This window comes from Homo sapiens, chromosome 2 (genome assembly GCF_000001405.40).
Source record: "Homo sapiens chromosome 2, GRCh38.p14 Primary Assembly".
Classification (NCBI taxonomy): Eukaryota; Metazoa; Chordata; class Mammalia; order Primates; family Hominidae; genus Homo; species Homo sapiens.
In genome coordinates, this window is record NC_000002.12 from 7011453 (window position 1) to 7038261 (window position 26809).

Genomic DNA, 26809 nt, shown 5'->3' on the forward strand with positions numbered 1-26809 from the left:
ACATGTGGGTTTGAGCCCTAGTGCTTCTATTGAGCTGTTGTTGATGTCTCTGAGCCTTGGTTTTCTCATCTGTCATGTGAGCATGGTAACACGCCATATGACTTTTGTGCATGTTTACTGAGCTAACATAGGTAATGCAATTCACGTAGAATCTAGGACTTAGAAAGCATTTGTCTACTGCTATCTATAATGAGTGCAGTAGTAGGAAAATGTGTCAGTATCTGCTTTTAGGCTGTGTATTTTACAGAAGTTTCTCTGTTTACCTATTTTTGTGCTCATTTCAAGACATCTTTTTGCAATTAGAATGAAAACCATAGCTTGTGAGTCATGACCCACTTTATATCTGGAAGAAAGCTGGGCTTGTTTTTGATGGATGCAAGGTCAGGCGCTTGGAACGTCATCTCTCTTTATGTAGTGAACAAATTGATATTCCCAGAACATAATCCTTTTGCAGATTGTACAGATAGCTGCATCCTGATGACACATGATGTTCACTCTTGGGTAGCTTTGAAACCCAGACATGACTCACTACTTGTTGCATATGGGTGTACGCTTCATGCCACTTTTAATTGTTGTATTTTGCTTCTTAGGATGCGTCATGTTTTATCATTATATACTGATCCGCACAATATCCTGAGAGTCTTCAGCATCGTATATTGGTTTAACGCACTCCAGTATCCTCCAGAGACCCCATTTAGACAAACTTCATAATAGAAAGTAAAATAATGATCTTGTTGCTAAGGTTTTGGGATTTTTAAATACCTATAACTGTAAGAGACAAATCACGTAAGTAGACAAAAAAGAGACAACAGCCACTATTTACTTAGCTGGTGCTGTCTACCAGGAATTATGCCAGGTGCTTTCATAGATTACTGTCACAACAGCGCAGGAAGATGGGCCTTCTGGTTTTATTGTCAAGTGCAGGGAGATGGGCCTTCTGGTTTTATTGTCAAGTGCAGGGAGATGGGCATTCTGGTTTTATTGTCAAGGGAGCTGTTGCTCAAACTCTGACTTGAGGGACAAGGATTGGTTGAGCCTGTCTGGCTCTGAAGCCTACAATCTTTCTCCCTTGTCATGTGGCACCCAATCATAAACAGAAAGTTCCACTGATCTGCCAACTGTTCTGCTCATTGTTACAATGGTTCACCACTCTAGTAGTCCGCAGCGCCACTGCCACTTAACACGTCTGCGGATGGTTCCCAGAACCAGGCTGCAGCCCTGCTGGAGGCTGGGTGTGACTCCTCTCTTGCTCATCATCTGCCTCTCCCTTGTTCTGAAAGAAGTCTTTGCATTGGTTTTAATGAATTTATCTCTGAAAATTCTGCCATCTGGAGTCTCACGTAGAACTCCAAGCCTGGGGTCGTCCATACTCACTACTCTGGGAAATGTCTTCATAAACCATAGGTTGGTAAAATGTAGATGATCTGTGAAAACCTAAGTTTAGGGCCACTGCAATCATCAGAGCCCAGGCAGATCAAAAGAACACAGGCTGGAACACAGGGTTCAGTGTGGAGCCACCAACATTGTAATTTGTACTTGAAGTTACAGCTCTTGAGAAAAGCTTTGGGAAGTGGCTCTTTCTGAGGATTGCCTTGATTTTTGTTTTTTAAAGAAATTGCAATCTGGAGTCTTCAATGAATGAAATATTCTATTTTGCTAGGATGGGGAGAATTACCAGTTTAGATCAAATTATTCTTTATATATCAAGCATATACTCTTCTCTGTGTATTCTTCTATACTTTTTCACTTGCCTAATATTCTTACAACTCCACTGTGAGGTAGGTTAAACCACCCTAAATTGCAGATCAGGAAAATAAGGATGGTAGAGAGAGATTAATAGGCTTGTTCTAAACATGGAGGTAGAAGGAATTGCAGTTGAATTTCCATTTAGACCCATTCATTAGTAATAATCATGCATTCTTGTAATAAAATGGATTATACGTTTTTGCGGGGAGATGTCAGCTCAGCAAACATAGCTTATTAATTTTTCTTGATTAATTGCTATTATATTTTAATAATGGTATTGTAATATTATATATTGTTGCTAATATGAACTTTAAATATACTGGGACTGTGATTAAAGTTGATTTGGGGATGCCGTTGTAGGATTTTACATCATTTTCTATGCTCTTTGAGTTCTTATATAAGCTCTACATCTAGTTTCTCTTGGTAGTGAGCCTAGCTGGCAAAGGCCGTATTGTTTCTTCTCATTGCTGTTTATAATATGCTTTTCAGGGAAACACTAGATTTCTAAGACTAGTAGACTTTGTAAAGCAGGAGTGAAGACCACAGAATCTTTTATATTAACTCTACTTCATGTCCTTCACTTCTTCTTGTTTTGCTTACTTCAGGCTTTAAGCAGTGCCCCCAAGTAGGTAAGGTAGGTAGTGAGTAATTGCCTGGTAAGTGAGGCACCCTGAGTGAGGAATGCCAAATACAGTTGGGTTCTCAGCAGGGAGATCATGGGCATTTTGTCTGAGCAAGCTTGGGTTCACATCGAGGCTCTGGGTACTATTTGTGTAAGTTGGCAACTTCCTCCTTTGCTGACTCAGTTTTCACATATGAAAAATGGAACAGTCATACCTTTCTTGTAAAAATGCTCTAAGGCTTCAGTGAAAGACTGAGAGATAAAATATTTAATGCAGTGCCTGCATCTTATAGGCATTTGAGAAATATTACCTCCCAGCCTCCCTTGCTGCCTTTCATCTTGCTTTTAGAATTCTTGGCTCTTGTGTTTGCTGAGGTTTTGTGCCGGGATCTAACCCATAGCCTTAGCTTTGTGATTGAGCATACAGTCCCTGGCACAGAATGGGTACCCCATAAATAGTTGTTGAATGAATAAAACCTCAAAACCTCAAATGTGTTGGTTGCTGTGGACTACACAGTGAAAATATTAAACTGTAATGGAATGATGTGCCTGGTCCTTTTTTTAATGCATCATGGTTTCTTCAGCATTAAGGAGGTAAAGATGTTTATAGACACTTCTCTGTTTTTCTTTCAGTGCCTGAAACAGTATGTTGAGCTCTTGATCAAAGAAGGATTAGAAACCGCAATTAGCTGCCCAGATGCTGCCTGCCCTAAACAGGGCCACCTACAGGAGAACGAGGCATGTGCAATTGAACAGACTGGGCTGTTTGATGTGCACAGGCGTGCACTGCTGAACTTGTCAGAATAACGTGGGTTTTGTTTGGGTGTGCGTTGCATTATATTCTAGCCCTCAGCTTGTTATCATTCCTGTTTGCATTTTTTTTTCCCTTAGATTGAGTGCATGGTTGCAGCTGAAATTATGCAAAGATATAAAAAGCTACAATTTGAAAGAGGTAGGTGCCTGGTATATCTGCCGGTTATGATTCCTGTAATGTGTGAATGTGGATAATTTTGTGGGGAGTTCTTTTGGTAGATATGGTTATACAGCATTTGATAGGAGTTAAAAAGTTGATGTAAAATAAACTTCTGAAATTAAACTGACATTCTGGATTCTCTGAACAGCTCACAGTTTGAAGACCTTGTCTAGTGATCTATTTGGTAGCAGGAAGAATTTATGGAACACAATTTGTTTATAAGGATTGAGGCTCCTGGGGGAGGCTTAAAGTTGATGGCTCTCTTGAGGTATTATATTTCAGCCAGCTTAAGGCTGAGTTTGAGGGCTAAACTCTTGGACTGGCCCAGAAGTTAAAAGATGCAGAGTCATGGAGGGAAGTCGTGAGGGTAGGCATAGCAGAAATTACAGTAACCCCCGTCCTAACAACAGTCCGATGGTAGGTGTCCTGTCTGCGCTTACTCACCACTGGACACAGACCTAGATAGTAGGTGGTGAATGAATAATCAAGTCCCTTATCCCAGTAAGTGTCACAACAACTCTGCAAAGCTAATTTGTCATTATCTAATAAACGGATCCCCAGAGAGGCTAACTGACTTGCCCTGATTTCTAAATATAGTGGGTGCTTTGGGACCACATCCCATGACCCTTCATCGTGAGCCCTCCACTGGGCCCTGAATAGTCCTTCTGGCTGGAGCAGGCCTGATGCAGACCCAGGGGTCCTCTGGGAGAGCAGTGTGGCAGGTGCACACAGAGCAGAACATGATTCTCAGGATAATATTGCAAAGCATTAAGCCATGTGGAATGTCCAGGAGAGGTCTTTAGCTCTGCTCTCTGAAATACTCCGGGGTCATACAATGAAACTGTAAAGAGTCTGTGGACTCTCTTTGGCTTTGTTTTCATATCTATTCTGGGCCCCAGGCTTGTCTGGTAAAGAGCAGAGTGACAGATGTGTGCAGGCGACACTCCATATGCAGAACATCATTGTGTGGACCTTGCAGGCGGATTCTGAGTTTGGATTGCTGGCATCTGCTCTCCCTCTCCCTGCACTGATTCTCGGGTTCTTGACCTGAGCAGGGTCTCACCACTGAGACACAGCCCTGGAGGGTGGGCTTACATGAAAACATGGCCGGATGGGGAGTGGACGGCAGAGGAGACCAGAGGACAATATCCAGAGACTCCCAGTTTAGCTGCATGCAGAGACCTGTTGTTTGTATATTTTTGCTTTCTAAAAGAAATGCTAGAGATAGCTGGGCCCAGTGGCATGTACCTATAGTCTCAACTACTCAGGAGTTCAAGTCCAGCCTGGGCAACATATTGAGACCCCGTCTCTAAAAAAAAAAAAAAAAAAGAAAGAAAAAGAAAAAAATATGTAGCCCACTTAAAAAAAAACTCAAACAGCATTTTTCATGGCATTGACATTTGTTTTCAAGAGTGTGTTTATTAAAGTGTCGTATATCATTTGCTTTGGGGCAGTTTATAGCTTTAATATAATGCCATTTGGTACAAAAGTCAGTACGTAGGGCAATAAAATTGATTAATTTAGACTTCTGAGACTTTCAGGCTCTTCTGAGAATATTTTCCAGAGAGAATCTTGACAGAAACTGGCTGTTGTTTGCGTTACAAGAATATGAACTTTCTATGACATTGAATTTAATTTAAAAATGCAGCTGGGTACATTTTTCAACCTAATAATTTTAACTGTTATTTCTTTAGTACTTTGGCTTAGTCAGAAAATCTTTTTTCCTTTTGCATAAACATGAAGCCAACTTGGCTTCTGTTAAAAAAAAAAAATCTCTCAAGCCTCTCCCTTTAAAGCATTTTACTAACATTATGTTCAAAGTTTTTTTTTTTTTAAGTATTCAGACTTCATACTATAAAAGACCTGTCTAGATAAAACGTTAGAATGTCAGAGCTAAAATATAGTTATGGATTATAGCCAGCACCTTGAAAGAGTTTGGAGACAAGATCAGAAAGCAAATTTTGACTGTCTCTATGGCTCTAAAATCTAGTCAAGTAGAGGACGCCCTGGAAGAAAACTGAGACAGTTCAATGATTTTCTGAAAACATTGAGTTACCAGAAAGTTCTATGGTTAGGTCATGTTGCGCACACTGTCTGCACTTAGTCTTAGAATGTCTCCTCTGATATAACAGCCTTGGTTTTAGCGTCAATGTCTTCCCCTTCTGGAGCTCTGGGGCAAGCAGGAAGCCAGGGAAGGGGGCCAGGAAGCTGAGTTTTCATTCTGAACACCTCCTCACAACTGGCTCACTCCAGAGTCTGGGTAGGGACAGATTCTTGAGCGAGGGGGTGTGGATGCCTCTTGCTGCGTGGACCCCTCTCTCATGCTACACTCGACGCCCGTGGCCCTCTGAGACCCAGCGGTGCTGTGCTAAGGGCGTTGCTGTGCACCTGCCTCTATCTGGAGGCTCAGCCCTCCCAGAGACAGGACTGTGGGTCCTCATGCCTTCGTCCCATGCCAGCCCAGTGCCTGGCCAAGTGAATGCTGATGTCAGATGTCAACCGTGTATTGTTTTTTTTTTTGTTCTTTGTTTTTTTTTTTTAAAGTAAAGCTCAGAGAGATTAAATAATACGATGGGTTATCCACCTGTAATCAGGCCTGACTAGAGCCGACTCCTGAAAATGTTGCCATCTCACAGCAGGATCAAACCCACCATCCCAGCCCTGCACCAGGCACCAGCCCGCCGGGCAGGGTAGTAAGTGCAGGGATGAGAGGGGATGCTGGGTGCATCGTTCTCTGTCATGTACTTCTGAAAGGAAACTGTTTTAAAAGGAAAGCCACCTTTTTAAAAAGTTTTATGCATTTTTAAGCAGGGAGTTCTTAAGAGACCTGCTTCATTAATCTGCCATGAATACGCCTCTGGGAGAGAAGAGTTAACATTAGTTTCCTCTAGTGTGCCAAAAAGCATATCATTTGCTTTGTTTGAAAATATGTCTCATACACACACGTGTGTAGATTGGGGAGGATAATGCAGAATGTTAATAGACATCTACGCCTCAGCCTGGGGCCATGTTCACAGGGTGTGACATGCCCCGGCAGCACAGGAAGGACATTTGCAGTCTGCAGTCAGAGCGGCCGTTTGTCCCTGACCTTTTCGATAGGGAATCTCTCCATGTGAGGACAGGCAGTGCCGTGTCACAGCTATATGAGGACAAAACTAATAAGATTTAAATCGTTCCCATGGAAACCTTAGCCAGGTCTCCCCTGTGTGCTATCCTGGGGGGCCTTTTGTGATGGGGATGCTTAATAGCATCCCCCACTGTTGAGCCAGGAGGGTGGACAGGAGGTGGTGCATGACAAATCACGTGCATGAAGAGACCGAGACCCAGCTTTGGGATGTCTGCTCCTTGCTGATGTCAGAAGCTCCTACTGCACAGGAGAGGTGGGGACAGCAGTGAGACGGAAGGGTCCCTAGCAGGCAGCGCTGCCCTTCTGGATCTAGCCTCAGAGCTATATCGGGAGGAGAGCAAAGAGCGGGTGAGGATTTCTCTTCCCGCGCAGCGTGTTGTTTAGTGCACACAGCACTTGCACCCTCCCGCAGGGCTGGGCAGACATGGGCCTCCTATCTCATCAGGGACAAAGCTGGGCTCACCCCACAGCACTCACAGAGGGCAGGCAGAGAGTTGTCGGAGGCATCGCGGGGACGGGATGGGAGCATGACCCAGGCCAGCTGCCTTTAGCCTTTGGCGTTTCCTCCTCACTGCTCAGCGTGGCGCTCAGTGCCCCAGGCTGGCATGTGCACCCCCTCCTTGCTTTGCTGTGACTGTCAGCTCAGGGGAGCCCCAGGCATCTGCCCCCACACATGTGACCCACAGACAACAACTGCGTTTTCTCAAAAAGCCATTTTGTCAGACCTGACAGCTAGGAACATTCTTAGAAAAGCAAATGTGGAAACTATCAACAAATAAGAGAAGAGCTAATTTTGTCCATTCATTCAGTATGAGGAGCATCCTGGGGATTTTAGATTATTATAATGAAGATAATTAGAGTAGAGCACCTGTTCCTGACCTCCAGCGTTCCTTGTTATTATCAAGTTCTTCTTAATCTTCTGCCACCCCTAACATTCTGACAGTTTTGTGCTGTTGATTAATTCATGCTTAAAAAAAAAAAGGCAGAGGGCAGCCAGATGAGATCAAGGGTCAGCCAGCCATGGCTAGTGGGCCAAATCCAGTCCCGCCGGTGGCCTGCTGCTGTCAAGTTTTGCTAGAACATTCATTTCCAGATCACTGTGTCTGCTTTTATGCAACAGCAAAGCCCAGTAGCTGCGACAGAAACCCAGAAACAACATGGTCCTCAGACTTAGATGATGACTATCCGACCCTCTGCAGAGGAAGTTTGCCAGCCCCTGGATTAGATGACTAGATCATTTCAAAGCTAGACCCTACACAAGATGGTTTCTGGAGAGCTGAATCTGGCTTCCCCATGTATTTGGGGAACATGGTAAACACACAGAGCCTTACACATACGTATGCGTGTGCACCGTCAGGACACCCAGTGGGTGATTTGTCATTAACTTCCTGCTGGTCCCGTGGCAATGCGTGTAGGTGAAGTCCCGGTCCACGTGCGGCGCCAGCATGTTGTGGATTCCAGTGAGTAGGAATCCCATGTGTGACACAGGCGAGCGGGAGCTGCCCGGCGGCCAGTCACAGGGCCCAGACATTTGCAAGGACTTGTCATCGCCTTTCAAGTCGTCTCTGAAACTCAGTTGTCCTGACTACTTCCCAAGAAGAGCCCCGCTGAAAACTTAGAAACCAGTGGCCTACCAGAACGCCTTTGGAAATAGCCCACATTGCACTGGCCTGGGAGAGCTTTCTGGCAGAGCCTTGCTGCTCCCTGGGGTGGCCACTGATCGAGAATTCGGCATCATGCTGGACAAGAGGGAAGATGAAATGAACAACCAGTCTTCCTACAAAGGGCAGCCAATAATTTAAAGAAATGCAATTTTTGGACAAGGATGTGAAGAAATAGATGTGTCAAAGTGTCTTGTTTTTAGAAATAAACTTTGTGGCTAATTCCATTAAATTGGGCTTCTTAGAAATGTGTGCTGTGATTTGGAGAGAAAATCTGGCCCTTGAAGGATTGGTTTCACTCCGTAGTTAACTCGTGGCTTGGATTTGAGAAGGGGAGGCCATCTTAGGCAGGTGAACCATTTGGTTAGAAGAACAATCCAGCCATCTTCCTTCCCTCTTCCTCTCGGTCTTCTAGCAGCATTTTCCTGGTGCTGGCTGTATGCCCAACATGGGGCCATCAGGGGTCCAGCTTCAGAAAACTGTCCCCTAGGGGAGGCAGATGAGCTAGCGCCATGTGCATTGCTCAGAGAAACCCGACAGGCAGGTGGGCCAAGCTTTCCAGGATGTGGAGGCCTTTGAGCTGTGAGCTGAGTGTCAGAGGCAAGCAGGGCTGACCCAGGGCTCCAAGGGCATTCCAGGGGCAGGAGCAGCATTCCTGAGGGATGTCTGGGTGTCTGGAGGTCTGTTGCATGAAGGGAGAAGTTGGGAAGAGCTACAGCGGAGGTGGAGGTGGAAGGGTGGCTTGGGCGGTGCTTCGGTTGGGGCTGGTGGTGCTGGCTGTATTACCTGGACATGTTCCTCCCTGTCCGTGCACTGAGGGGCTCCTTCCTCTGAAGCCCACATGACCCTCTGGCTTAAGTTTGATTTGTCCATTTTGTCTCACTGTACCAGAGGTGCTGTTTGATCCCTGTCGGACTTGGTGCCCGGCGTCCACCTGCCAAGCTGTGTGTCAGCTCCAGGACGTGGGGCTGCAGACCCCCCAGCCAGTGCAGTGCAAAGCCTGCCGTATGGAATTCTGCTCCACCTGCAAAGCCAGCTGGCACCCTGGCCAGGGCTGCCCGGAGACCATGCCGATCACCTTCCTCCCCGGGGAGACCAGGTACCCTTTGTACACAAGCTGCCACCAAAGGCATGGCTGTGGGCCAGGAGAAGCAGGCATGCTTTCTTCCTAAAAGTGCTGTTACAGTGTAAGTGGCTGTGGCTCAGTCAACCCTAACACACACTGTACCTCTTGAGCCTCACTCAAGCCTGTCATTATTTGTATGTCTATTTATTTTTGAGAACTGACTATGTACCAGGCACTGTGTGAGGCCCTGGAAATAGAAAGGTGTGTGAGAACCACACTTAACACGGCTTGGCTGGAATGACAAATGCATGCGTGGTTTGTTACTTTTAAAGGTTGCAAGTCCTGCAGTACCTGAAGTTTCTGCAAGACTTCACTGTGTTGAAGGTGATCTGAAATGGGGGTACAGAAACAAGAACAGGAGTAGGGTGCACTGGTCATAAATACTGTCTGGAGGGGGATGGGGAGACACTCCCTGGTGGCGGCCTCCCCTGCAGCCATAGTCGGGCTGTTTGCCCAGGAGAATGCTGCCGCACCACGCTCTGTACTTTGACATTTCGTAGGTTGATGCATAGGAAATTCATCATATCCAGGTCTTTTTCTCCTACAAAATCTACAAGGTCACGTGGTTCTGCTGGACACTTGCCCCTGCTCCTGTTGAGTCCAGGATCCTCATAGAGGAGCTGCCACTCTACCCACCACCCTCCCCAGGGTGTGCTCACCAGCTGCTCCCTGTGCGCCCCTTTTCCCATTCCACCGTCCCCAGCTCCTGTTCCTTTCCGTGTGACCCCTGTGCCCTGTTCTAGCCCCCGACCCTCTCAGGGTCCCTGCCACACACCCCTGGTCTCCTTCCGGGCGAACCTCTCTTCCCGTGTCTGGAGTGCCCTGCTCTGCCCTCCTCCTTTCCCTGGGGGCTCCTGCCACACTTCAGGTGGGGATCACATCCCTTTGTCAAGCTTCATGGTTCCGAGGACAGGGTTGGGGCCTCCACCCTCTGTGTTCCCCCTGAGATTCTCTGCATTGATTACAACCCTGGACATATTGGATTTGAGTTCTTGCGTTGACAAGGCCGATTCTGCCATCAGGATGAGCTCCTGACACACAGGGCCTGGGCCTTTCTGAGCAGCCTGCATCAGGCAGGCAGCTGCAAGCACGAACCACTTGTACTTATACTTCACGTGTACTTGGCATCTTAGGGGCTTCAAAACTTTAGATGGAGGCTGGTGAGTGTTTGGAGCCTGATGACTTAGTTTTCTTTATCTGTGACATTCTAGTCTCATTTAAATTATTGTCCAAAGATGATCTAAATCAAAATTCAGAAATCTCATTTTGTGGAAATTTTTAAATCAGAAGATGTCACATAAAAACTGGAATTTCTGGCTTCTCTGGGAAATCCGAATCCTAAGCCTCTCCGAGGCTGCCTCCCCATGCTGGCAGCCAGCGTAGCAGAGCCCCAGCTCTTGCTGGAGGCGCCTCCTGGGCCAAAGCCCCACAGTCCTCACTACTCCTTGTCCCCTGGAACTGAGGCTGCCTGTCAGCTGCCATTTATAACTGAGAAGACACTAAGCTATTTTTTGTATTGGAGGGTTTGTTGTTGTTGTTGTTTTTGGTTAAATCTTCTCCTCAACCATGTTTTTATCCAGCCCCTGACCACTTCACTCATTAGCATCACCTGCGCACCTCTTCAAGCTGCTGGGCCACGTGTAGATTGTGATTAAACTGTCCAAACTCCTCTCTGCTTTTATAATTTGAGTTTACAGTAAATGTTGTTAGTAATAATTTTAAATCCAATTCAGATACTAAGAAATATTTGAAAACCATTGTCTATTCCATGCAAAATTTTATGCATAGCACAGTACACCAGAACTTTCATATTTTAACGGTTTTCATTTTGAAATGTCTCCCCAGGAGACACTGTACACGCTGTTCCTGCCGTTTCTTCCAAAATCAGCTTGTGAGTCACATGAGAAAATTGGTTTCTTAGCTTTAAGGTCACACCTGGCTTTCAAACCAAAACAATGTTATCTAACCTAAAACCCAACCTTGATCACCAGATCCGGTGTCTCATGACTTCCAGCTTTTTGCAAAATCAAAGTCATTCTCAGAAGGAGGCCAGGCCTAAGGTTTACTCGGAGCTGGCTCTGTGCTGGATCCCTCTGGAGACATTTGCACATATGCTATCTCGTTTGCTCCTTGCAACAACCTTAGTTCATTCTTTATCACATTCTGCATGACCAGGTTGGTCTGCAGTTTGCTTTTAAATTGGAAGCATTTGAGCTAGTGACAGTTGTGTTATCTTTCAGTAACAGTTGTTAATAATAACTACTGTTTATTGAGTGCCTGGTACTTATGTGCTGGATTTTGTGCTTAACATGTTAACATGTGCAACCTCTGTAATCCTCACAACCGTCTGTAGAGATCGATGCTATTAGCCTTATTCATCTGGTTTGCAGATGAGACACGTAACACATAAATCGCACAGCTAGGATCTGTCTGTCTCAAGACTCTGTGCTCCTAATTAGGAGGACATACTGCTTCTCTCATTATTTCTTACTCTGTTGCCTTCTACTAATGGACCAAACAGTCACGTTCAGTTGGAATGTGCACCCCAAGTGGAGGATTGTTCACTGCCAATCATCAGACAGCTCCTACTAAAGTGAAACTACATTTAATGCTCATATTGACTGGAAGCTTGTGAGAGATCCTTCAGCCAGAATGCACTCAAAAAGCCAGAATTTGCTCAACTGCCGTGAATATATACCCATACATGTGTTAAATTCTGAAAAAGCTGCCCCGAGAAGGAGGGATGCATTTTCTCCTGCTGATGTTTGTTTGATATAGTGAGTTCCAACAATATAGCAAATGGACCCCCATAATCAGTGATAACTCCTCTTAACAGTTTATCATTTATTCCTTCAGATGCTTTTCTGAATATTCTTACCCATCTTTTAAAAATTAACAGCATGGGGTGAGTCATACCTAATGTCTGTGTTATCTTTCTTTAGCAACATTGAACTACTGCTACCCTTTATCAAGCACTTCATAAAAGCTGCACCCTGCGCTGTGCTCTTGGCACACGGAATCTTTTCTCATGGTCACACTGATGAGAAAACTAGGGCTTGGAGGGTTGCTCCACAGCTGGTTTGTAGCAGACCCAGCTCTGACCTCAGCTTAAAGCCCTTCTTGCTAACCCTGCAGACCTAGCCAACTTCTGAGGAAAACAATTCTGTAAGAAGAGCCAGGTGGATCTATCTCAAGTAAACAGTGTGTGTTTGTGTGTGTGTATTTGCAACATTTATTTATTTTTCTTATAACAGCAAAGTACATAAAATTTATATCAACCCTTTGGAAAGTAGACAGCTCTGTGAATAAGGATACAATATTTGACCTTAACACTATGATTCAGATACCTCCGTTATAATAAGCCTTTCGCTGTATTTTCTTTTGTTTGTATACATATATCTCTAAATTTAGATATGTGTTGATGTTGCTGTAATTTTTTAAAAATTTTTCCTAACTCAAAGTGGCTGATTCACAGTGTTCTGGTTAATTTTTTTTTTCTGGAGTTTCTGTTTCTTTGTTTTTTGGTTTTTGTTTTGTTTTTTCATTTAATACCAAGAAAACTCAGTCTGTGAAGTGGAGCCGATGCTTCCAGCATAGCCAGTGCTCCTGGGTCTCCCGTGGGATCCGTTTGTGCAGAGTCCTCACGGCGTTTCTCCCACAGTGCTGCTTTCAAAATGGAAGAAGATGACGCGCCCATCAAGCGCTGCCCCAAGTGCAAAGTCTACATCGAGCGAGACGAAGGCTGCGCGCAGATGATGTGCAAGAACTGCAAGCACGCCTTCTGCTGGTACTGCCTGGAGTCTCTGGACGTGAGTACGGCCTTCAGCTTCACCTTGCGGCATTTAGCTTTGAGGTTTAGATTTGGAATGAGAAAAATAGACCAGCTGTTTCCTAAAGAGCTTGGTGCCTACTCCTGTGTAACAGTGAAGCAACACCGTTTGGTGTTTCTCCTGGGTTTGTGAAAACATTAACTCATGAGCGCCATGGGGACAGAAGCCTTTGTGACTCGTATAGTCCTGGGGTCTAAACACTTCATGCAGGTTCAGGATCCAGCCTGGGATTTAAAGGGGTTTTAGCATCTTAGGTTTTGTCTAAGCGGGGACTGTCATTGTCAGTTTGGGCTGCTGTGACATAATATCATAGATGAGGCAGGTTAAATGACAGACATTTATTCCTCATGGTTCTGGGGGCTGGAAATCCAAAATCAGGGTACACCAGATTTGGCTCCGGGGTTCCTGATCAGGACTCCTTCCTGGTGTTCAGGATAGTGAGGACAGACAGAAGTGGGGGCTGGGGGGCTGTTGGGCTTGGGGCCAGTCTTAAGACTTCATTGACACTCACATCATCTACAGGGCGGGAAAACGTGCAAGCCCTTTGCTCTCTGGCAGAATGGAAGTTCTGGTCTCATACGGCAGCCTTCTCCTAAGTATGCTCTGCTTCAGTGTTTCTCAAACACACCCTACCGTGTGTGCCTGCAAGAGCCATGTCCCTGACGGGAGGGCACAATCTCCCAGGCCCACACGTCTCTGGAGCTTTGAGGCCTGATGCACAGGTTGCTGCTATTTAGCTTCTCATTCTCCTTCCTTGCCCATATTAGGGCGTGGGCATCTTGCCAAAATGATGAAGCTATGATTTTAGTTTTAGAATAATTTATTGATGCATACTTTTTTAAGAACTATAATTAGGCCAGCCTCGGTGGCTCACGCCTATATTCCCAGCACTTTGGGAGGCCGAGGTGGTCAGATTACCTGCGGTCAGGAGTTCAAGACCAGCCTGGGCAACATGGTGAAACCCTGTCTCTACTAAAAATACAAATTATCCAGTCATGGTGGCATGCACCTGTAGTCCCAGCTACATGGGAGACTGAGGCACAAGAATTGCTTGAACCTGGGAGGCGCAGGTTGCAGTGAGCTGAGATGGCACCACTGCACTCCAGCCTCGGCAACAGAGTGAGACTCCATCTCAAAAAATAAAAATAAATAAATAAATAAAACTATAATTAAATAGCAGGCCTATTTATCTGTTGGAACCATTGTAGCTAGGACAGTCCAAGCAAATCAAGTCGTGTTTCATGAAGGGATATATTTATGTCTGTTCTGCACAGCAAGGATGAATGTATCCAGTCCATCCAATAATAGTATTAAGCCATTCAGGTCTCATTCAAATAAAGCGGGGGGTGGGGCAGGGCGGACAGTCAGAGCAAGTCCATGCTTCCCATGTTAGCATTCATCTGTCCAGAGACTGTTCTTTCTTATGAGTGTTTCTGGGCAACCATTCATACCATGGGGCTATCTCAGAGCAGTTCAGCTTGGCACACAATGGCTGAGATGGGTCACCTCAGGCCTCCAAGGTGAAGGAGAAGTGGTTCAGACCAATGGGCAAAGTGGAATGAAGCACAGGCTGAGAGATTTGTCTAGAAGAAAATGAGTGTCTCTTTGAGATGGACTATTACATATGGTAACGGTCTGGAATATAAAGGCTACCTTTAAAAATTAGATTGCTTCTTTTGGAATTATTCCTTTGAAAGGCCTGTTGTCTCTTTATGAACTTTAAATTACTAAATTAATAGTAGAACGTGATGCAGCTGACAACATCTGGGTAAAATGTCACCATCTTCTATCCTGAGGCTTCATTTTTACTTCCTAGGCAAGTTTAATGAATCAGCATGGCAAGATGAATTTTCTTTAGCTCAAGTCCTCAAGGGGATTTGTGGAGTGGCATCTGAAGTCTTACCAAGTTTTTTAGGGCCTTCAAGGTCTTATTTATTTATTTTTGTATTTTACTGTATTCCAGTTTTTTTTTTTTTTGAAAACTGATCATTGAATTATGATATAATATCTAATATCTGGCCTGCAATTTATTACTCTTTGTAACTTTCCATAAAGAAGGAAGAAAGTGAAAAGTCAGTTTTCCTACACCTTGTCACAGAGCCCCGTGCGGATCATTTGGAGGCTGCATTAGAAATGGACTGACAGAAGTTTGGTTTCCCCAGGCTGCTTGGACCAAGTGACAGGGACTAGGAGGGAAGCTGCTGTTTTTCTCCTTCCAGCACAGAAGTGTGTCTTGTCTGCTCTAGTCCCTGAGGAAGGCCCTCCCTGTCCAGCTCCACCCTAAAGCAGGTTCCGCCCCTTGCTAATGGAGAGGAACCAGGCCGCACTTTTCCTCCATCAGAGACATCATCCTCATGGCCGTGCAGAGTTTCCTGTGTTTTCTTTGTACATGAAGAAAAATGACCCTGTGGCCAGAGGAAGCGGATGTGAAGGAGAGGGAGTCTACTGTTGGAGCCCTTTACCAAAGACATTAACAGTGATTTACGACAAGCACATAAATGCACGGCCTGAATCCAGCCAAGAGCACTCAGAGGAGAGAGGAGGGCTTGCCACGGAGCTTTTCTCTCCTGTTTCCCCCAAGCGTGCTTTCTGGCACATGCAGACATCCAGGAGTTATGAATATTTCAGACCGCCTCCTCCCCATCGTGGTCCTTACTGCCTCTCCTCCCCTGCTTCCCTCTCCTCATCTGCACCTGGCCAAGCGCATCTCCCCTTGAATCCTCACTGCTTCTCAGCTATCAGTGCTGGCCCAACATTTGCTATTTACTGTAAAAAGGGACATGTGCAGTTTCTTTCTTTTACGTATTTTTTGGCAGTAGATAGTTAATGTTTATCGAGGTAATTGTTCCAGATCAGCATTATACAGTTTGCTCTGGATACCTGCTTCCCTTAACGCACAGTATTTCTGTGAGTTGGAATGAGGAAGGCCAGAGAGGTTTATCTTTCTCAAACTAGTGAGGAAGGGAATCAGCCATCAGTCCCTGATCTGTCAAACTCTAAAAACCACATCTTTGTGTTAGATCAGGCTGTGTCAAGGCAGAGTTCCAGTGGACATTTTAAAGCTGAAGGTGCTAGAATTGCCCTGGGGCATTGGCTCTTTCACCAGCCCTCTCCCTGATTGCGGCTTCCCGGAGCTTGCACCATTGTTTCATCCCACCCCGGAGTTCAATGGAACTTTTCTGAACAATAGGAGGAAAGTATTCCCTATCACAGAAATAGATCTGTGTTCCTGCAGCTCCTGGGATTGTTATGCCTCAGGGCATCATCAATAAACTAAAAATCATAAGTCAATCATTTCTATATTGTGAAACCATATTTGAGTGCTTTTATCAGGGGATAAGAAAAGTGCTTTTTAAATAAACATTAATTTTGTACATGAAATCTGGCTGTGTGTCAGCCACTCCGCTCCGTTGGACCCCATGCGGGTCTGGTGAGATGAGGGTGGGGGGCGGGGTGGGAGGGTGAAGTTCTTGACCTTGAGGAGCTTGTCATCTCCCTGACGAGCCCCATAAGGCACGATCCGGACACATTGCTATGAAGGAGGCTGCATGGCTAAGGGTGTAAAGTCCCTGGCGGCCCCAAGGAGGAGTCAGGAGGTTACTGGCTCTGGGGGCCAGTGGGTAGCTGAGGACTTGAAGGCTGAGTGAGTTTGTTCACCAGAGAGGACAGAATGTGCTGAGCCAGGTTACTACCAAAGACCTGGGCACGATGAAAGAGGATGTGAACTCATACGTGGCCTGGCCAGAGATGCTGGAAAGACAAGGTGAGGCCCAGACGACGGCCCCTGTGTACCAGATCAGGGGCCTGGCCCCCAGCAGAGGCCTGTGCTTCCCAAGGATAGGATGGATCAGAATCACTTAGGGAGCCTGAGGACTGGGCCCTGCCTCAGACCTCGGAGTCAGTATCTTCAGCTTCCAAAAGCTGTCCAGGTGGCTCGGATGTGCAGCCAGGCTTGTCCATGTCTGCTCGCAGAGGTCAGTAACCACTTCTCAACTGGGTAGTACACAGGATTTGGTTTGCGTTTCAGAAAACAAATTCAAAAACGTTTAAAGAGCCTGCAGTGCAAGACATTGTGAGAGGCAGTCTGGAAAATGGAGACATACAAATGGAGAATGAGCTCTTCTCAGTGGTGTGTAAATTAATGTCAGCGCAAAGGAAATTTTGGTTAAGAGTTCAAGGAGGAGAGAGCTCACAGTGATGGAAGTGGACAGAAATAGCTTTGTAGAAGAGAAAGGTGTGGCCAGAAGTGGCTTTGTGTTTGCCTGCTCCTCCCTTTCCTCTCACAGATGGGGCATCTGGGCACAGAAGCGAGGCAGACAGTGGTAGCTGGGACCCCAGCCCCCAGCCAAAGCCTCTTGCTACTGCACCTGTAACAGCCAGGATTTGATGGCCCTCCATTCACTGTGCATTCAGACACCAGGAGGCTTGACCCCAAAAATCAGGAAACTCAAGGCTGGTGTCCTCCCCACAAGGAGAGGAAGTCCGGCTGCAGCCCCCAAACTGTCTTACCAGAGTTGATTGAAAGGAACAGAAGGCCATGACCCCTGACCTGCTCCTCCTGGTTTTCGGAAGAGTGACTTCCTGTTTCCTCAGGCGCATTGGGCCCTGTGTTTGTTTGTTCTTTTCTGAAAAAGCAGCTGTCTGTTTACAGCCTCCTTTAAATGAATCAACAGGCTTGCCCCTCCGTGGCACCATGTGCCTCGTCATTTCCTTCATTGATCAGGATTGAAAACGGTGCCTCCTGGTCCTGGAGGCATAGAGGGCTCGGTATAGAAATGCCATTCCCCTCACGCCAGTGGGTAGTCATTGAGATCTGGGTGCCAAGCACTGAGCTGGGGAACACACTTAGAGAGACCAACATGTGTGAGGGTCCCAGCTCCAGGAAATGGAGGTGGGGTGGAGAACGCCTGGAGGGAGGCGTCCACAGGTGTTCCTGGAGTGCAGAGAACTGCTGCCCACTCAGGATGGTCTGAGAAGATGCAGACAGAAAGTGCTCCCCGGGCTGGATCTTGAATCATGAGGAAAATCAAGTGGCCTGAGTGGAGAGGAAGCGCTTTCTAGGTGAGAAGCCCGACCTGATGGAGGGGGATGGATCAGCAACAAAGAAAATCATCCAATCCCAGGAATAGCCCTGTCACTGCACCAGGAAGATGCCAGGGCAGAGGGACTCTGGTGGAGTCACACACAGCCGGAGCCAGCAGGAGCTCTTTGGAGCAGCAGTGACCTGCGTGTTCAGTAGCCCTTTGTCCCCATGAGATCCCTTCTTTCCCACAAGCTCAGAAGCCAGCCACTGTGCAGGGGAGGTCCTTCTTTGGGCTGGGCCTGAAGTCTGGTCCAAAGCTCCCTCTAGAGCCCGAGGCTGTGCTGTCCAGGGCTGCTAGGTGATGAAGGGAGGCCCTGGGGAGGAGCGGCCTGGGCCTCCAGTGGCTGTGGCCAGGTGTTCCCGGATGCGTGCCCTTCCCTGTGTCACCTCCCTCATGTCTCCACTTATCATGAGCATAGGAGAAGAAATGCATCAATGGCTGTGATACTCACCGAACTGAGCAGGAACCACTCGTTCATGCCGTCTCTGTCTCTGCCCCTCACAGGATGATTTCCTTCTGATACACTACGATAAGGGACCCTGCCGGAACAAGCTGGGCCACTCCCGGGCATCTGTGATCTGGCATCGGACACAGGTAGGAGGTGATTTGCCTGGAAGGTTGATCTCAGAGAGAGACTGTGTGTGTGTGTGTGTGTGTGTGTGTGTGTGTGTGTGTGTGTGTGTGTATGTATATCTTTAGTGTTTCCAGACTTGCCTAAAGGACGAAGATCTCCTGGATAGAAAGAGCTAGTAGATGTGCTTCCTGCTGGTTTTTGCTGGTATAGGCTTATCCTTATGGAAGCCCTGGCCCAAAGTTAATGTCAACGCGCATCACATTCATTGTCTGATGGGTCTTCAGCATCAGACTTCAGATCACTTGCACGGGACTCATGGCCTTGGTCATGACCTGCTGACCGTGTTTAGGTAATCCTTGCCTAGCCCTTAACAAAGAGCTTTCTCTTGAGGCCCTGAGATAAGCAAGGTAGTAACAGGAATGGATAACAAGGAAGGAGTGGAAAAATTCCGAGGTCAGTGGTCCCCAACCTTTTTGGCACCAGGGACTCACTTCGTGGAAGGCAGTTTTTCCACAGACTGGGCAGGGGGATGGATTTGGGATGATTCAGCATATTGCATTTATTGTGCACTTTATGTCATGATTACATTGTAATATATAGTGAAATAGTTGTACAACTCACTATCATGTAGAATCAGTGGGAGCCCTGAGCTTGTTTTCCTGCAACTAGATGGTCCCATCTGAGGGTGATGGGAGACTGTGATAGATCATCAGGCATTTAGATTCTCATATAAGGAGGCTGCAACCCAGATCCCTCGCATGCGCAGTTCACAACAGGGTTCGTGCTCCTACGAGAGTCTAATGTCGCTGCTGATCTGACAGGAGGTGGGGCTCAGGCGGTAACGTGAGCAATGGGGAGCAGCTGTAAATACAGATGAAGGTTTGCTCGTTTGCTTCCCCCACCCCCACCACTCACTCCTGCCGTGCACCCTGGTTCCTAACAGGCTACAGACCGCTACCCGTCCATGGCCCAGGTGTTGGGGACCCTGGCCCTAGGTGTTAATGCCTGTGCAGTCTTTGGAGTTGATAAAGGACCCTCGTGTTGGTTAATATTAACTTGTGCTTTCAACACATATTTATAGCCTACCGTGTGCTGGGTACTGCTGTAGGAGCTGGAGATACAGTGGTGCGTGAGACAGATGTGTCCTTCTACGGAACTACGTTCTGTTTAGGGACAGAGATGATAAAGCAGCAAGGACACAGAACCTAATAAATCAGCTAGAGGTGACGTGATGGGGAGATGGTCAGAGATGATGGCAGGGACAGACCCTTTTAGGGCCTGGCAGTCCACAGAGCAACCCTGGATCTTGTGCTGGGTGAGTGGGAAGCTGCTGAGGGATTAGTGGCAGGAGGCACATTGGCTGCTGCTCCCTGCCTGCTCCTCGAGAGGCGTGAAGGGCTCAAGTCTGTGACTCCTTCAGGAGAGCCTCTGAGGCACATGTGTCAGCCTCATCTAAAAGATGGAGAAACTCAGTCTCAAGGCAGTTGCCAGGACGAGGGAAAGGTCCACCTACAGCTGCACTTCCTGGACAATCTTAAATGCCGACCACGTGGCAGAGCCTGTGGGCGTCCACAGCAGGCGATAAGACACGCCTCCCATCAGAGAGCAGATGCTGAGCATTCTTGGCCTCGCAGGCCGTAGGCCTCTGCTGCACCTGTCAACTCCACCTGGCGGCACAGAAGCTGCCAACGGTACGTCAGTGAGTTACCTTGGCCGTGTTCCAGTGAAACTGTTTACACAGGCAGGTGGAAGTGACTGTGGTGATGGTTGCGTAACTCTGTGAACACACTGGAAACCATTGAATGTGTGTACTTGATCTGAATTGCGTGGCACAGGAATTATGTCCCAATAAAGCTGTATGGATAAACAAAACAGAACAGATGATGAAGGCAGATTTGGCCCCCGGGCCATGGCGTACTGCCCTCTGGTCTAGAGAGTTGGTTTGAGCTCCTCTGACTGTTCTCTTTGCACGTGGCCCGGCACGGCTTGAATCCACGCCCCTTGCAGCTCTGCTGGAATCCGCGCCCCTTGCAGCTCTGCTGGAATCCGCGCCCCTTGCAGCTCTGCTGGAATCCGCGCCCCTTGCAGCTCTGCTGGAATCCGCGCCCCTTGCAGCTCTGCTGGAATCCGCGCCCCTTGCAGCTCTGCTGGAATCCGCGCCCCTTGCAGCTCTGCTCGAATCCGCGCCCCTTGCAGCTCTGCTCTGGCTGCTGTGACAAAGCGCTGCAGACTGGGTGGCTCAGAACAGCAGAAATGTATTGGCTCAGTCCTGGAGCTCAGAATTCTGAAATCGAGGTGTCAGCAGGGCCCTGCCTGCTCTGAAACCTGTAGGAGAGTCCCTCCGGCCTTGTCCAGCTTCTGTGGTTCGCCAGCCATCTGCGGCATTCCTGGACAGATCGATGCGTCACTGCAATCCTCCGTCTTCCTCCGGCTGCCTCTTCCCTGTGCGTCTCCACCTCGTCTTCCATCATTGTCCAAATCCCCCCTTTCTATCAGGACATCAGTGGTATGGGATCGAGGCCCACGCTAATCACCTCATGGTAACTTGATTGCATCTACAGAGACCCTGTTTCCAAAGAAGGTCACATTCTGAGATACTAGGGGGCTAGAACTTCAATATATTGTTTTGTGAGGACAGGATTCAACCCATAACAACACCTACACCCCCCTCCCCACGCAGCATAGAAACTGCCAGGAGGCTGCATTCCTCTTCTGTACTTGGTTTTCCCTGGGCTGTAGGTAGGGGGTGACTGGGTGCTGACTCGGGGGACCCGGCATTTGCACAGCCACCGTGTGAGTGGATGCTGTTGTGTGCACCTTGGCAGAAACTGAGTCAGAGCTTGGTGAGAACTCGGAAACCATTGCCCAACTCTGGCAGTTTCCCTGTAGAGAAGGTGAGTTCCAGGTGAGAGCAGGTGCTTTCCACAGGGACTCTGGCTGGCTGTTGCTGGGTGCCAAGCCTCCCACATACTCAGGCTTACCATCCTCACATGTATTTTGCTCTGGAATCTGTGGTGTGAACAGGGCTCAGCCAAGCCAGCCCATGTGCGGCCCACGTGGCATCAGCCGGGGCAGCTCTGAAGCTGGGCAGGAGCCCCTGCAGGCCCGTGCCCCATGCTTCTGGTGCTTGATCTGGCTGCTGGCTTGGGCCTCAGCTGGGGCTGGCAGTCAGATATCCTCACGCCATCGTGCCCTGGAGCTGCCAAAGGCCCACTGGTCTTGGAACCTGGGAGAGCCTGAGCATGGGTCTTGGCAGCCGCATCTTCCCTGCTCCTCCAGGCTCACTCTGAACTTTGGCCTGCAGCGCCCGTGCTTTCCCTGCCTCTCTCCTTTGCCCTGGCCGTTGCTGCCAGCTTGGTCTTCATCACTCTCTTCCTCTACTTCTCCTGTTCCTGCCCAGCTCTGCACATCCACATTCTAACCTTCTCTGTGGCCCAATCCAGGTGTGACCTCCTCCGTGAAGTCTCTTGTGTGTGACTGTCATCCAAGAAGAGCCCTCCCTCCCATGTGGACCCACCCCACTCTGGTCATAGCCCAGTGCTCATCTGGGTCTTATCTCTTAGGATACAGAAAAGTGCTCTTGGGAGCAGGGACCTGTTTTGCTCATCTTTGTAACCTCTTTGGCACTGGTCCTGTGCCTGGGGCACAGTTATCTTTGGAAGTAGTGCACGGGCAAAATCGCGAATGACCCGTTTGGCCGTGGGTGTTGACTCGCAGCCCTCTCCACAGGGCTAATGGTCCTCGTGCCTTCGGCGGCTTTCTACACGTGGGGAACTTCACAGGGGCCGGGCAGGGAGCAAAGGGTTGCTGTGTCCCCGTCCCAGGAGCCATGAGAGCTGCTTTATTTTCTGGTTCTGCTCCTGGTGAGGAGAAGGTGGAAGTGGATGACTTGGAGCTTGTTCGTCCCCATTCAAAGACAGGAAGAACTGTTTTTGTTTCTCCTAGGGAGGGACAGGAGTAACACCACCTCTCTAATGACACCTAATAGTTCTTCCTTTCTTTGAAGGCAGAAGTTGCAGTGATCCAAGATCGTGCCACTGCACTCCAGCCTGGGCGACAGAGCAAGACTCTGTCTCAAAAAAAAAAAAAAAGTTCACAAAAGTGCGGTGAGACTTGGAGCGATAGTGTTTGGGGAAACAGAGCAGCCAGGAGTGTCAAGCTGTAGCAAGCGACAGCGTGCAGCCGTTTGAGTGGACGCCCACCCTCCTTAGGAGCCCCAGCTTTGCTCGGACTCATCTCTGTCTGCCTTTTGGAAATGAGTCCGTGTAAAGAGCTCGCTTCTGCCACCTCCTGCCTAGTTTTCAGGCTTCCGGCATCTCCCCTGCCCTGTCCTTCCTCCGGGCTGCTACGGCACTGAGCGTGCTCCCAAGTGCAGTGCTGTGAAGGACACCTGGTAGCACCAGGTGCCTTTGTGGCACGTGCACCTGCCAGGCTGTGGGAAACTCATAAGATCGCAAGGCAGGGTGAGACATTAGAAGCCAAGAATTATTTCTTGATAATTCAACAAGCTGGAATATTCAAGAAAAATAGTATGAAATGAGTGGCACCTGAATCAGACCATAAAAGTCCTAAATACTGGATGTTGCAGAAAGTGCTTTGAAGGAGGAGAGGACAGTGTGAGCGGAGGCACAGAATGGGACACTCTGGGGCCGGCTGGGGAGCCTTCGGGAGTGCAGCTGATGGGAAGTTAGGGGCAGAGTCGTGATTGGCCTTGGAGAGGGTGTGGTGTCTTGCTGTAGACTTAAGTCTGTATGGCACTAGGGAGCCAGAGAAGGTTTTAGAGCAGCAGAATAAAATGCTCAGACGGGGCATAACCTGAAGACTTCTGCTGAGCCTCTTGGTCCTCCACATTTGGCCTCCCTTGTCATCTTCATCTCTGCAAAGCAGAATCTGCCAGCCTTGTGGCCTCAGAGGAGCCCGCTCAGGATGGCCTGCTGTTCTGCCTTCTCCACTCCTGTGTCTCTCTCTTGCCCTGTTTTGTTCCTTCTCCCTGTCAAGCTATATCCCTCCCATCCATTTTTAAGGCTTTGCTCCAGCTCCTGCTTCTCCCGTTACGTGTCTCTAAAGAGCCCAGGCCACAGCACGTGCTGAGCAGCGTCTTTGGAATCTTACTTGACTGCAGCCCACAGGGAGACATGTACCAGTGTAGTACCTTGTAACCCATAAAACATCCCTGTGCACACCCACATCGACATAACTTCCCCACTCTGTGCTCCTGCATTTTCTGTTCTGCTCTGTTTACTAAAGTCCTCATCTTGACCCACCAAATTGCTTTCCCGTCCTACAAATGGGTCAGCTGGGCCACCCTCTGTCACTGACCCTGCTGTGGGTTAGAACTTCTTGCCCAAGTCAGGTTTCATTGGCTCCCTGGGGACACATTTCTCTGTCACATAGGGGCTTGCTCCACTCAAACCTCAGGAGCACTCAGAACATGCCCTGAATTCAGTGTCCTGTGATTCCCAACTTTCAGGGTCATTTTGAAAGGTTCCTTCTCCCCAGTTCTTCCTCCTTTAGATGTGAAGCTCAGTAAGATTATTCTAAGAGATTTGGGGGAATTCCAACGTGTCTCTTTGAGATTGCAGGCTGCTTTCATTATTTTTTACGGGAGCAGAGGTTTTATATGCCACTTGCATCTTACCTGGCACTCTTGTCAAACGGAAAACAGTGCTGTAAAGGAAGAATTGTCTTTGTTGCATAAAGTTATTGTACAGTTTGTTTCATCGCAAGTGATACATTTTTTATTCAGTATAGCAGAGTCTCCTGTTAAAGTAAATGAGCATGAAAACCAGCAGAGTGGCCGCGAATGCAAGACCGCACGGTGGGCAGATGTCTCACGTGGGACTGACTGTGCGGTTGCTGGAGTGAGTGTGGGTGCTGTGAGCCGCACCTGTGCCCTGTCCATCTGCCCTCCTGTGCATTCGCTGTGCACACGATTGCATGAAGTGCTTGCCGGCCTTTTTCCAGCGCTATCCCAGAAATCAGCCATCGTGTGGAGGAGCATTTCATTTTCTCTAGAGTAACCTTACTTCCTTAGGACATCAGCATCTGACAAGGGAGAATCTTACCCAAAACCAGCTCTTCCTTCTCTTCTGAGAAGTGAAAGGAAACTTTCTTTACCCCAGTCCATCTTTGATAAAGAGCTCATTTTTAGCCAAAGGATGGTATTTACGAAAGCCAGCTGATTACTGATCTTCTGTATTCACATGCATCCGTGGAGGGGTGCACAGTGATAGTTTCAGAGACTGAGCCGAAGGACCAGGTGTTCCTTCCAGAAATGCTTATGTCCTGGAAGCCACATGCAGTGACTGTTCTAAGGGTATTTCTCACTGAGATCAGTGAAATAGGCACGATCTATCTCTTGTACTTACACCAGGATGCTAAGCTCTGTCTGTTTTAAACAAATATTGGACCTCTGGAATAGCTTTTTGGGTATAGATTTTGCATCTGTGAAATGAGAAAATTAGACTGGATTATAATCCAGGGATCAAATATGATACTGTGATTCTGAACTTGTCTGTGCCACCTTCAGTTACCTAGTTTCAGTGAATTAATAGTGTTCCATTCACCTTACCAGATCTCAGATTTTGGCTTAGTTTTCCAAGCCCTTGAATGTGGTTTGTACAAGAATTCTCTGGGGGCAGCCATTCAGAACCTTGTCAGTTTCAACTGGCTCGTCCCATAAACCTGGGTCGGACATTGATTATGAGAGGTGCCGGGCTGTGCATGGGAACTTAGAATGGTTTGCAGAAAGAGTGTTCTGGCTTTAAGTAGCACACATCTAAGAAACTTCATGGGAAGGGGTAACTGTTCCTTTAAATCTTAGGGTTTGCCAGTACGAACGAAGCTGTGCTGTACAGATTCTCTCTGGAGCCTGAAACTGTTTACCCATCCCTCTGCCTTCTGTGATCAAGTATCTGACACACATCCACAGCACACACACACAGTGGTTCTTTTTGCTTTGTGATATTTGCTTCCTGTCTCATTTTTTACTGCTGGCTGCGTAACTGGCAGTACCTGCATCTGCCTGTCACCAATTGGCAATACGTTGGGTAACCCGGCTTCTCAAACAGCAGGCAAATTTAGAGACGAGGTAGACTGAGTGAAAAGCGAAGATGGTGTGTGATTGGCTAAGAATGTGATCATTTGGTCCAGGATTTTGGCATTATTTTGACTGCAAAGAATGTGTGGCTCTTTCAAGACTGACAGTTGTGTGCCAGGTAGTCGAGGTTGCTCAAAATTTCCCTTCAAATAGGGTAGAGCTTACTGCATGTTTTATGCCTTCTGCATATCAGCGTGCACGTGATTTCAGTAAAGCACAACCTGAATTCACACTGGGTAGTTCCACCGTTGATATGTTGTTCAGACAAATGAACGTAGCCAGCTGGGCAGCAGGCATGGATTCCCAGCATTAGCACAATCCAATGTATAAATGCAATGTGGCATAATTTATTAAATGCAATCTAATTTATACACGTATGCACGTACGTGTGCATGTGTTGGTGTTGATTTTCAGGAGAAATCTCAGTCGAGGTATACTTTGTTCCACACATCTGGGATGCTTTAGTAGAGTCTCATATTTTAGGGCTGATAATGGCCCGTAAAGATCTTTTACTTCATTTGTTTATTTTATAGATGAGAAAACAGACCCAGGGAGAAGTGAAGGCTGAGTTGGAATGAGAACCATGTGCTGGTGCTTGCATTTACTGGCCACACTGAACACTAGGTGGCGGTCTAGCCCTGTCCTCGCTCTCATTTCTGCAGGCTGCCTGCCTGGGTTGGGACTCTGTGAATGGCGAGGCCGGCTGGAAAGCAGGCTCTGTGCCTCTTTGACCAGCCATGCCGCCTGACTCAGATGATGGCATGTCTGCATTTGAGGCTTATTTCTTTTGGCCTTTACTCATAACTAGGGATAAACATGTTTTCAAGCAAAAATCAAAATACGTAACAGTCAGTATTGGGCTTTAGACTCCAGGAAGGACAGGGGGCCAGGTCATTCTCTGATGCACCATGCCTGTGTCTTTTCTGTTTTCTCGTCGGAAATGCACTATTCCAGTCTTTCTTCTGTA

General features: G+C 47.6%; 1 protein-coding gene across 7 annotated transcripts in view, besides 2 other annotated features; it reads left to right on the top strand.

The window, feature by feature from the left end:
• RNF144A (ring finger protein 144A) overlaps positions 1–26809 on the top strand; it is a 158956-nt gene that overhangs the window by 94041 nt on the left and 38106 nt on the right. For all 7 annotated transcript variants that reach the window (NM_001349185.2, NM_001349181.2, NM_014746.6 and 4 more), the window contains 5 exons: positions 3002–3106; positions 3260–3320; positions 9021–9228; positions 12917–13064; positions 18674–18763. In NM_001349185.2, the coding sequence (NP_001336114.1) occupies positions 3002–3106; positions 3260–3320; positions 9021–9228; positions 12917–13064; positions 18674–18763 (612 nt within the window). The remainder of the gene's footprint in view (positions 1–3001; positions 3107–3259; positions 3321–9020; positions 9229–12916; positions 13065–18673; positions 18764–26809) is intronic.
• Positions 5716–6215: an enhancer, noted in NCBI's record as "H3K27ac hESC enhancer chr2:7157299-7157798 (GRCh37/hg19 assembly coordinates)". NCBI's record gives its function as "activates a minimal SCP1, AML or CMV promoter by ChIP-STARR-seq in primed H9 embryonic stem cells {active_cell/tissue: H9 hESC(primed)}" and the evidence as "EXISTENCE:reporter gene assay evidence [ECO:0000049][PMID:30033119]".
• Positions 26306–26600: an enhancer, noted in NCBI's record as "tiled regions #7427 and #13434 (exact overlaps); K562 Activating DNase matched - State 12:CtcfO, and HepG2 Activating non-DNase unmatched - State 12:CtcfO". NCBI's record gives its function as "activates a minimal TATA promoter and a strong SV40 promoter by Sharpr-MPRA in K562 cells, with weaker activation in HepG2 cells {active_cell/tissue: HepG2 | K562}" and the evidence as "EXISTENCE:reporter gene assay evidence [ECO:0000049][PMID:27701403]".